Source organism: Homo sapiens, chromosome Y (genome assembly GCF_000001405.40).
Source record: "Homo sapiens chromosome Y, GRCh38.p14 Primary Assembly".
Taxonomy (NCBI): domain Eukaryota; kingdom Metazoa; phylum Chordata; class Mammalia; order Primates; family Hominidae; genus Homo; species Homo sapiens.
In genome coordinates this window covers 23,171,994-23,184,090 of record NC_000024.10, presented here as the reverse complement: position 1 = coordinate 23,184,090, position 12,097 = coordinate 23,171,994, and the positions used below count along the sequence as shown (strand labels likewise).

At 35.7% G+C, this 12,097-nt stretch overlaps 1 protein-coding gene across 2 annotated transcripts in view; it reads left to right on the top strand.

Annotated features, from left to right (window-relative positions):
- Positions 1–12,097, top strand: part of DAZ1 (deleted in azoospermia 1) — a 69,740-nt gene that overhangs the window by 15,004 nt on the left and 42,639 nt on the right. The window contains exons 7-11 of one of the 2 annotated variants that reach the window (NM_004081.7): positions 2,741–2,887; positions 3,162–3,253; positions 3,814–3,865; positions 4,302–4,365; positions 4,455–4,594. The exons of the other annotated variant lie outside the window; for it this stretch is intronic. Coding sequence (NP_004072.3) covers positions 2,741–2,887; positions 3,162–3,253; positions 3,814–3,865; positions 4,302–4,365; positions 4,455–4,594 — 495 coding nt within the window. The remainder of the gene's footprint in view (positions 1–2,740; positions 2,888–3,161; positions 3,254–3,813; positions 3,866–4,301; positions 4,366–4,454; positions 4,595–12,097) is intronic. 2 annotated transcript variants of the gene reach the window in all.

Below are 12,097 nucleotides of genomic sequence, written 5' to 3'. Positions count from 1 at the left end.
TTGAAGATACGGTTAAGAAAATTACTTCTTTAATGCAGTTTGTTTTCAGGATGCCATTGACGGTTACGATGGTACTTTCTTTCAAACTAAACTTTTGCTTATCCGAAGCATTCATTTATATTTTTGGCCGTAGTTTAAAACTAACCAAAGATTGTCTGTTGATTGTGGATTTTTATATATACATTATATAATTATGTATAAGTACACAGTCGGAATTGAACAATCCCTGCTACTCGAGCCATGGTAAAAGTGAAGTACGTTGCAGAAAACGAGGTACATTGCTTACCTTGTTAGCTTTGAGCGCCACCTGCTGGCTGAGGACTAGGACATGATCATTACTTCCTTCATTTAAAGTATTATGACGCTGTTAGAGAGATTCAGTGAATTTTATATGTACGATTCCAGTTAAGCAGGCAGCCGGTTTGTAAGATCCAAGCTAAAGTCAAACTTCTTAATAATATCAAATGCCTTTTTTCTTCTTTACCAAACTACGGTTATTTCGAGTATCCAAATGAGTATGAGAATCAGAAGAGACACCCGAGGTCTTTTCCGGCCATTCGTTTTCAAGCAAGGAAACTGAAACCGAGGTCATGAAAAGATTCACTTTAGTGAGCGATGGAAATCAGGTTCTTCCCAAAGAAGAATTTTCCTCTTCAATTCTTGTGGCACGGTGACAAGGTTTCTTAACCAGACCCTTTTCAAATTGTGCACCAAATACTTCCTTATGGTAGGAGGCTGTCTTTACACTGTAGGATGCGCAGTAGTGTGCCTGGCCTTCGGCCCATCAGATTCCAGGAATACATCTCAGTTGTGACAGCCAATCTCTAAACGTCGCTAAATGCCCCTGGGGCTCAAAAATCTTGCCCAGTTGAGAATCAGTGCATTTCCATAACCTCTCGTAGTCTGACACAGTTTTCTGCCAGATGTTACATTTCTAAATTAAAATACATCCAAACACTATGGTGCAGAGACGATACTGTAATATAGCTTGTTTATCAAGGAAACACATACCCAAAGTTCATCCACAAATCAAGGAGGAATTGGAAAGGAGAAAAAGAAACTACAAGAATTTCAGAATTTGTTTTGTTTTGTTTTATTCTGTTTGGGATTTCTGAATGAACTGAGAAGGAATTGGTAAATTGTCTATAGGGAAGGGAGATCTAATCAGGTTCCCAGTAGTTCAAGGTAGTGCAGCTTAATGTCATTTGGAAAAAGCAATAATGTGAGACATTTTTGAAAGGAAGAACTTTAAAAATAGTGTTTTAAATTTTTCTTTCACATCATTGTCATGAAATAACGCTGTTAAAGGAAAGAGTTAGGAATTAGTTACAGACCCAAAATAGCAAGTACAAGCACGAAAGAATAGAGAAATGCAGTAACCTCGGCTTTAGTTGATTTGACAATTTAGATTTGATCTCTAGTAAAGCTGTGTAGAATCAGTAACTTCTAGGCTCTAATTAACAAAGCAGGAACCCTCCTTTCTTATTAACTTCTATAACATTACTGTGTTCAAAAAGATAACGCAGTTTCTTTTGTCTTTTGTTTTCTTTCAGACAGGTATATGTGTAATAGCTTTCTCTTTTGCAGCATTTTGTACTGACATTTGTGAAGTCAACAGCACTTCACCAATGATTTTTAAATTAATGATGTGTCATAGTTTCCTGATGTGTCAATTAGTTCTTAATTAAAATTTTTTCAAAATAAGTCAGCTAAATAGTGAAGCCAAAAAAGAAACTTGAAAACAAATCGGCTGAAAATAAATTCAAATAACAGGACACTAACTTACATTGGCACACCACTTGTACCACTTTATACGTACAAAATGAATTCACAGATGTGATCTCATGTCATTCTCAAAGCACTTTGCCCACAGATACATAGCTGGCAAGTAGGTGGCTTATAACCACTTACCTGTAAGGGACATAAACCTAGATCTCCTGACTGAATTAATTTTTGTTTCACTATGCTATATTGTTTCTCCAACGTATATATTACTTATGAATACTACTTCAGAAAATTTTACATTAACCTTAGAGTCTGCTGTGGAAAGAATAAAGACAGTTCTGATCAGAATCTAGAAAATTAGTGAGTTATATGTATGTGTTTTTTTATCTGAAAATAAAGATGGTATCATTTATATCTATCAGCCCACTGTGAAAATCAGAATTATCAGTCAGACTGATTCCGTGTTACTCAGGAAGAAAAATGTTATTTCAAAAGATGCTTTGAACACCCTAGCGTTAGGGAAGAGGATTGTAACAAATTGGTTTAAAACGTTGAGGCTTATTTTCTTTTTGGTGGGGCTTTTTTTTTTTTTTTTTTTTTTTAAGATTTATCTTTAGTCTACTCAGTAAAGTGAAAAGTTGTTTATGAATATAGAACAGGATGATTTTAATAACTTTAATTTTTACAAATCTAAACTCTCTAGTTTTGGGTGTCTTTTTTAACTACTTCACGTAGTACTTTCACAAATACTAAATGGGTATTCTTCCACAGCATTATACAAGACTCGGTGATGAGCGGCACTAGGTTTAAGAAAGTACTGTATCCTTCGGTTAAAATTCCATGCTGATGTACTCTGATAAGTTTAAATCCTGAGCCTGAACTGAGCTGCACTGGTGACTGAATTACAATGAAAGTAATTTATATAAAATATACTTAAAATACAAAAATGGTATTTCACATTATGTATGGGTTTTGCCTGCATACGTAATTATGATGTCTACTTTCCAAATTACAGTCTGCTGCAAATCCTGAGACTCCAAACTCAACCATCTCCAGAGAGGCCAGCACCCAGTCTTCATCAGCTGCAGCTAGCCAAGGCTGGGTGTTACCAGAAGGCAAAATCGTGCCAAACACTGTTTTTGTTGGTGGAATTGATGCTAGGGTATTGTATTCGTACCTCATTTTTACCTTAACATACATCATGAACAATGGGATGTGGGCCCTGTTACAAACTTAAATTTTTTTTTGTACTTCCTGGAGGTTTAGAATTGCTTTTAGGTTTGACCCATAGGTACTAAAAATATCTTTGACAAAGGGCTGCTGGTCATTCGGGGATAAATGGGGGAGAAATTTCCACCTCATGGTAGTAAAATTGTAGTAAAGTTGAAATTTTTGAATGCTGAATTTTTACTCTGACGTTCAGTTCTTTTCCATAGATGGATGAAACTGAGATTGGAAGCTGCTTTGGTAGATACGGTTCAGTGAAAGAAGTGAAGATAATCACGAATCGAACTGGTGTGTCCAAAGGGTGAGTAATTTTATCAAAAATATGTGAACTCCAGTCACCTATTCTATAAGTATCAGACAAGACTTCAAAACTGATATTCTGACCCTTGTATAAATGCAATATTCTGCAGTGTTAATTTCTTTCACGTAGGGGATAAAAGGCTATTACCAGTTCTTCTATTTGACCATTTTTCTAATGTTTGTATTTAAATGTCTCCAGTTTCTATTTCATACAGATGAGTTAATCAGTTTTCTCAAATAATTGTTTTCTTCATACACTGCAGAGCATCTTAAATTTTAACCACCTTGTCTTAGACAGTAAGTTAAACTCAGGTTCACAGATATGAATTCTTTGCTAATCAATAAAGTTGTCACACTGCCCTAATCCTAGCACATTTTGACATAGTTCTGCTTAAGAAAAAGTGGTATTTGTAGAGGATCTGTCATGTACATCTTAGCAAATACTTATCATGGTATATTATTCGTCTTTTGTCATGACCACTTCTGTATATAGAATAGTAGACCTTCTGAACCACGTACTGTATGATGGTGATTTTATGCTTCATTTGTCTGCCTTTATAGCTATGGATTTGTTTCGTTTGTTAATGACGTGGATGTCCAGAAGATAGTAGGAGTAAGTAATCTAATAGAAAAATCTCTTATTTATCTTATTGCTACAACGTTTAGTGTCAGTGATACACTCGGACTTGTGTAAAATTTGGGGAAAGACACACTTCCTGTTCAAAATCCAAACTCAGAGTAACCTCACGTAGCTTGTTTGATCCTGTTTATTTTTGACTGGACACCTAGTTTCATGAACTACAGACAGGAAGGGTTGGAGACAGGGTGATGGAAAGTTTTTGATCAACTTTCACTTGATGCCTCTTGACACTGATTAGAGTAGTAAGGGTAAGTAAGGTAGCTTCGTGATGACAAATTTTAATTTGGTGCGTAGTTGTCCCCGATCTTCTATGATGATAGGTACTTTAGAAGACTTCAGGTGTTTACCCAAGTCTTGGAAGCTAACACTTGAAAATTGATTCTAGTTTTGTTAACGGTTCTATTTTCAGTCACAGATACATTTCCATGGTAAAAAGCTGAAGCTGGGCCCTGCAATCAGGAAACAAAAGTTATGTGAGTAGGAAAAGAAATGGTTCTTTTCTGACCCGTGTAGCTTTTCAAATAACTAAAAATAGGCTTTTTTCTTCTTGCTTTTTAAAAAGGTGCTCGTCATGTGCAGCCACGTCCTTTGGTAGTTAATCCTCCTCCTCCACCACAGTTTCAGAACGTCTGGCGGAATCCAAACACTGAAACCTACCTGCAGCCCCAAATCACGCCGAATCCTGTAACTCAGCACGTTCAGGTAAGAACTGCTTATGTTCCTGTTCTCTTGTTTATTCTAGTCATCCTTCCCTCTGTGGAATTGTATCTACACTTTCCATAGTAAGTGGCAATAGAATCCCTGTTTGAACAGTGTGAGTAACGGGAAATCTGTTACTTTTGTTAGAAATTTCTTATTCTTCGTGTTCGTCATTTGAGCTAAGAATCTTCTGTATACTTGGCGAAGCTTTCTCTTAGAAATGACCTCTGTAGACACATGAACAAATCTCTTCCTATCTCTGCCTCTTTCACCTCATATAACTAGTTCCTAAAGTATTTGGAAGCAGCCCTCCTTATGTGTCTGCCTAGTTTATTGTTCTCTAAGGTTAGCAGTTAACCTAGCTATTCTTTACTTGCAGTGATTTCCAGATGCCTCCTCATATAAATTGCTTGACTTCTGGGTATATTCTGGTTCTGGGATGGGTAGATTTCTGATCTCTTTTGCTCTATCTAGAAATCCCGTGAGTTTCTGGCACGTAATTTCTCTGATGCTGGTTGCTTTGATATTTAAAGTAGGATTTGACATACTCTTGTCACTTACTGGTGATAAATAACGTTTAGTTTGTTCTTCGTTCATTTTATTTATGTGTTAGTTTTTAAAAAGAGGTTTTCTTCGATGGAAAATAAAGTAACCAAATAGTAGTGAATTAGTTCTTCAGTGTCTCTCATTTGTTGACATTTTCCATGTACTTGAAACGTGTGGGGTACACCTCTTCTTCTTTTTCCTTCTCTGAGCAATGGCTAGAAGAAAAGCCCTACTTGTTTGTAGCATTTACTGTGAGCCATTACTGAATGTGGGTGTATTGATGAATGATGCTACCTGTATGTTTTTAATCAGTAAGTATTTATTGAAAAGTAGAAGACATTATACTGTCTCTTTTCCAGCTGTGGCTTATTTACTGCCCTTAATTTGTGGAAAAGAAGTACAGAGAAAGCCGTAACATCTGCCGAAGAACTACAGTATTACCCTATAATATCATCAGATAGCAAACAGTCTAGAAGTATTTTGCCAAAGAAAGAGCAAATGTATTATTTTAACTTACGTTGAAATCTATCTTAATAGAGCCTTATCAGCAGCGTAAGAAATAACTTCTGGGTGGGCATAAGTACACAGTATAAATATGGTAGACTTTGGCCGGTGCAACAGTCACTTGTTTTGTCATTTGTCTCTTCCCCCTCCCCGCCCAAAGGGTAGCACTTGACAGAGAATATTTGTTTCTTCATGTCAGTCATTCATTTAGAAATCTGTATTTCTGTATGTAGAAAAATAATTACCATTTCAAGGTTTTTCGTATTTTTGTTATTTTGGGAATGGTATTTCTTTCTAGTTAAAAAAAAAAACACATTTTACCGTATTAATCCATTCCTTCTGTAAACTTTATTCTCGGCTTATTCTCCTTATCCAAACTCACCAGGTCAGGTCATCACTGGGTATCAGTTGCCTGTGTATAATTATCAGGTGATTGAAGAGGGAGTAAAATGATTTACTTTCAGCTACTACTGAGGCCTTCAACTTGTTTATACAAATTGCCTGAATAGTTTGTCCTTTTAAACTAGTGAACTGTACCTAAAATTTAAGAAAACACTTAGAATTAGTGTAATGAAGACCTCTGTAGTATGTAGAAGTGATGAAATAATATTTTGACAGGAGGGTACTTAGCAGTAACTTTTCTGCAGAACAGTTTCTGAGATTTGGTGTTCCTGTCTTGGTTTCAGCATGAATTTTGTTATCTTTGCTGTCAAAGAGCTGAAACATGGCAGACTGTCTTTCGTGAATTTTGTAGAGATACAGAGTGAAATAAAAGCTTTACCCAATTCTTAGAGCGCAGAATTCCAATTGTGTTTTTATTTTAGCTTGCTGCTTCATGATAAAGACTTCTCTGGGTCTCTTTTCAACGATACGAGTATATCTATGACCGATAATCGTATCTGTGGTAACAAATTCAAAGAATTAGTATCTTTGAGAGTTCCACAATGCCATTTGCAGAAAATTGGGAAAAAGGTGAGGTTTTCTATGTAGAAGGAGCAACAAGAACTTCAGGGATTAGAAACCTAAAGTACTTCTTTTTTTCTATTCTGTTTCTTTCGTTATATTAACCAAGGAGCCAGCATGAGAAGTACTTCAGTATTGTGTATCTCATGTGTTTTTGAAAAAGTACAGGAATATTTGAATAATATTGGTTTCCTTTTTTTTTTTTTTTTTCAAGTTGCCACCGCAGTGGCCTGTTGGGGAGCAAAGGAGTTATGCTGTACTTCAGATAAAGTGAATGCGCCGAACCTATACTCCCTGTTCTTTCTTTTTTTTCTGTGTCATATATGCCTATAAATTTTTTAAATCGTTCTTTGTATTAATGTGGCACATTTTGTTACTTTCTTTTTAACCCAATTTTAAACTCCTATGGGAGCAACAGTGCCTTTTTCTCTGTCAGGTTTTTGCGTGCTTAAGGAATGGCTCGTACACATGATGATAAGAAAGAATTCAGTAACTTTTTGATAGACTATACACTCCATGAAAGGTAGTATTAATAGTGGCTTTAGAATGAGCATGTATCTGCCTGGAATCTGCCTCTGGCTTTACCCTCCGTAAAAAAAAAAAAAAAAAAAAAAAAAAAAAAGTGTTCAAGAGAAACAGAAATGTTTTGCTATTAATTACTCTTAAATAAGAGTAGGAAGAAAAAAGAGTATTACCTCTAAAACACCCGAACTGCTTTCCCCCCACATAACTAGTTCCGAAAATATTTGAAAGCAGCTGTCTTCGTGTGTCTGCCTAGTTTATTCTTCCCGAAGGTTAGCAATTCATCCAGCTGTTCTTTACTTGCAATGATTTCCAGATGTCTCCTCATATAGATTGCTGACTTCTGGATATATTCTGGTTCTGGAATGGGTAGATTTCTGATGTGTTTTCCTATATTTATAAATCCCGTGAGTTTCGGGCATGTGATTTCTCTGATGCTGGTTACCTTGATATTTAAAGTAGGATTTGACATACTCTGTCACTTACTGGGGATAAGTAATGTTTATTTTCTTTTTAGTTTGTTTTATTGATGTCTTAGTTTAAAAGACATTTTCTTTGATGGAAAATAAAGTAACAAAATAGTGGTGAAATAGTTCTTCAGTGTCTCTCGTTTGTTGACGTTTTCCATGTGCTTGAAACAGGTAGGGTATACCTCTGCTTCTTTTTTGTCCTCTGAACGATGGCTAGCAAAAAAGCCCTGTTTCTCACATTTACGGTGAGCCATTACGTAATCTGGGTGTATTCATGTGTGATGCTACGTATAGTTTTCAATCAGTAAGTATTTATTGAAACGTAGAAGACACCATACTGTCTCTTTTCCAGCTGTGGATCATATACTGCCCTTAGTTTTTTGAAATGAAGTACAGAAAAAGCCGTAACATTTGTAGGAGAACGTCGTATTACCCTATAATATTGTCAAATAGAAAACCCTTTAGAAGTATTTTAACAAAGAAATAGCAAATGGATTAATTTAACTTACAATTGAAGTCTGTCTTAATAGAGCCTTATCACCAGCGTAAGAAATAACTTCTGGGCGGGCGTAAGTACACAGTATAAATAAGGTAAACTTGTCTGGTGAAATAGTCCCTTCTTTTGTCATTTGTCTGTTCCCCTTCCCCAGCCAAAGGGCCTCACTTGACAGAATATTTCTTCTTCATAAAATCAGTCACTCATTTAGAATTCTGCAGTGCTGTATATAGAAAAGTAATGTTTTAAAACTTTTTCATAGTTTTTTATATTGGGAATAGTATTTCTAATTAACAAAATGTTTTACCGTATTCATTCATTCTTACTGTAAACTTTATTTATAGGCACACACTACTCACCCAAATTCAGCAGTTCACGGCATCACTAGATATCATTTGCCTGTATATAATTATCAGGTAATTTAAGAGGGAGTAAAATGATTTACTTTCAGATATTATTGAGCCCTTTGTTTATACAAATTGCTTGAATAGTTTGCCATTTTAAAGAAGTGAAATGTACCTAAAATTTAAGACAACACTTCAAATTAGTCTAGAATGAAGGCCTCTGTATTATTTAGAAGTAATTGAGTAATATTTTGACAGGAATGTACTTAGCAAAAACTTTACTGTAGAATAGGTTTTTGAGATTTGGTGTCCCCTTCTATATTGTAGCATGTTTTTTTTTTTTTTTTTTTTTTTTAAATCTTTGCCGTCAAATAGCCGAAACATCCAGACTGACTTTTATCAGTTTTTTAGAGAGACAGAGTGAAATAAAATTATTACCCACTTTTTAGAGCACAGAATTTGAATTATATTTTTATTTTAGCTGGCTGCTTCACAATAGTAGTCCTCTGTGTCTCTTTTCATAGATATGACTGTATATATGACCCATGATCATATCTATGGTAATACATTCAAAGAACTAATATCCTTGAGATTTCCACAATACCAACCCCAGAAAATTGGGAAAAAGTTGAGGTTTTACATATAAAAGTAACAACAAGAACGTCAGGGATTAGAAACTTGAAGTAATTCTTTTTTCCATTCTGTTTCTTTTATTGTAATAACAAATTAAAGGAACCAGCGTATGTACTTCAATGTTGTGTTATCTCATGTGTTTTTGAAAATGTGAAGGAATATTTGAATGATTTTTGTTTCCTGTCTCTACTAAAAATACAAAAAATTTAGCCAGGCGTGGTGGCGCACACTTGTAATCCCAGCTACTCGGGAGGCTGAGGCAGCAGCATCACGTGATCCTGGGGCGCAGATTGCTGTGAGCTGAGATTGTGCCACTGCACTCCAGCCTAGGCGGCAAAGAGAGACTCAGTCTCAAAAAGAACAATGCTGTGAATATCTTTGTGTAAATATCTTGGCACGCTTGTACTATTAATTTCTTGAGATGAATTGCTATAAGTGGAATTGCTAGGTGAAAGCACTTTGCCCCTTGTATAACAATTTTATAATGAATTCTCCTTTTTAGTATAGTGGTGAGTATCCCCGCTTATCAAATTATGATACAGCTTTTCCAAAGTACTCTTGGTAAATCACGTATTAGTATTTTCTCACTGATGGTGTGTAGAGTGCTGTCTTTTCCACACCCATTCCAGTGAAAGTTATTAGTATTTTTTAAATTGTCAGCGTAATAGCTGGAAAATATTACATTATGTTGATGTGCACTTTTAAAAATCATCATTGAAGTTGATCATTGATCTTTAGCTTTTAAAATTACCTTTTTAATTTTATTTTTCTTACTGATTCATAAGAATACTTTGTATTAGTATTCACTTTTGTCATACACAGTGGAAAACATATGCAGGAGTAATAAGGAGGTGCCCTGGTGCCCTTACCTCATTCCTACTTTCAATTGAGTTGACTCAACTATTTCACTTGTAAGCTTGATGATAGGGTAGAATGAGATTGATAGAAAATAAGATTCCTCTACCTCTATTTTACTTGGGTTTTTAAAAAATTTAAATTATGAGTGCTGTATTTTATCAAATGATTTTCAGTGATGAACTAAAGTAATGTATCCTGCGAATGGAGTATTCTTGCATTCCCAATGTAAACTTAGACTCTTTATATACTGCTGGAATTTTGCATTTGTGTTGAGGGCAGGGATGGATCATCTGGATGAGGCTTTGTTACCTATATGCTTTTAGCTTTGTAAAACGCGTTGAGAAATACTTTCTTCCTCATTGAAAATAGAGTTTCTGCTTAGCATTCTTCTATTATCTGTGGCCGCAACCCATTTTTCAGGTCTCATGTATACTTTTGCTTTCTTGTGTTTTCTTGCTTTGTTTTGCCAGGATTGTTTATTGCTTGAATTTCATCCTCCCCACGCACCACTCCCCGAGAATCTGCTCTTTGATTTGCTTAAGGTTTTGATTCTGATTTTCCTGTCATATTTTCTTAATTTTATCACTCTCTTTATTTGCTCCTCTTCTATTGCTGTGAATGTAACTTTGCTGACTACAAATGATAGGCTTTTTCCTGGTCAGTTTATATAAGTATCAGTTTGCTTACAGGTTGACATAGTAATTGAATTAGATAATACTGGCAAAGGAGCTGACATGCCAGGAGTTTAAATAACGATAATTTTTTTGCAGCTTTTAGCTGTCGTTGTCACTTGGTTGTCCACATGTAACAAGGAATGTATTTGCCCTATGTAGCAGTGAGAGTTGCGTGTATGATGGTGTTGAAGCTCACCCCTGTTTACTATTGCAACATTTCTCATTTGAAAATTCAACAACTCACTTGAAGATACGGTTAAGAAAATTACTTCTTTAATGCAGTTTGTTTTCAGGATGCCATTGACGGTTACGATGGTACTTTCTTTCAAACTAAACTTTTGCTTATCCGAAGCATTCATTTATATTTTTGGCCGTAGTTTAAAACTAACCAAAGATTGTCTGTTGATTGTGGATTTTTATATATACATTATATAATTATGTATAAGTACACAGTCGGAATTGAACAATCCCTGCTACTCGAGCCATGGTAAAAGTGAAGTACGTTGCAGAAAACGAGGTACATTGCTTACCTTGTTAGCTTTGAGCGCCACCTGCTGGCTGAGGACTAGGACATGATCATTACTTCCTTCATTTAAAGTATTATGACGCTGTTAGAGAGATTCAGTGAATTTTATATGTACGATTCCAGTTAAGCAGGCAGCCGGTTTGTAAGATCCAAGCTAAAGTCAAACTTCTTAATAATATCAAATGCCTTTTTTCTTCTTTACCAAACTACGGTTATTTCGAGTATCCAAATGAGTATGAGAATCAGAAGAGACACCCGAGGTCTTTTCCGGCCATTCGTTTTCAAGCAAGGAAACTGAAACCGAGGTCATGAAAAGATTCACTTTAGTGAGCGATGGAAATCAGGTTCTTCCCAAAGAAGAATTTTCCTCTTCAATTCTTGTGGCACGGTGACAAGGTTTCTTAACCAGACCCTTTTCAAATTGTGCACCAAATACTTCCTTATGGTAGGAGGCTGTCTTTACACTGTAGGATGCGCAGTAGTGTGCCTGGCCTTCGGCCCATCAGATTCCAGGAATACATCTCAGTTGTGACAGCCAATCTCTAAACGTCGCTAAATGCCCCTGGGGCTCAAAAATCTTGCCCAGTTGAGAATCAGTGCATTTCCATAACCTCTCGTAGTCTGACACAGTTTTCTGCCAGATGTTACATTTCTAAATTAAAATACATCCAAACACTATGGTGCAGAGACGATACTGTAATATAGCTTGTTTATCAAGGAAACACATACCCAAAGTTCATCCACAAATCAAGGAGGAATTGGAAAGGAGAAAAAGAAACTACAAGAATTTCAGAATTTGTTTTGTTTTGTTTTATTCTGTTTGGGATTTCTGAATGAACTGAGAAGGAATTGGTAAATTGTCTATAGGGAAGGGAGATCTAATCAGGTTCCCAGTAGTTCAAGGTAGTGCAGCTTAATGTCATTTGGAAAAAGCAATAATGTGAGACATTTTTGAAAGGAAGAACTTTAA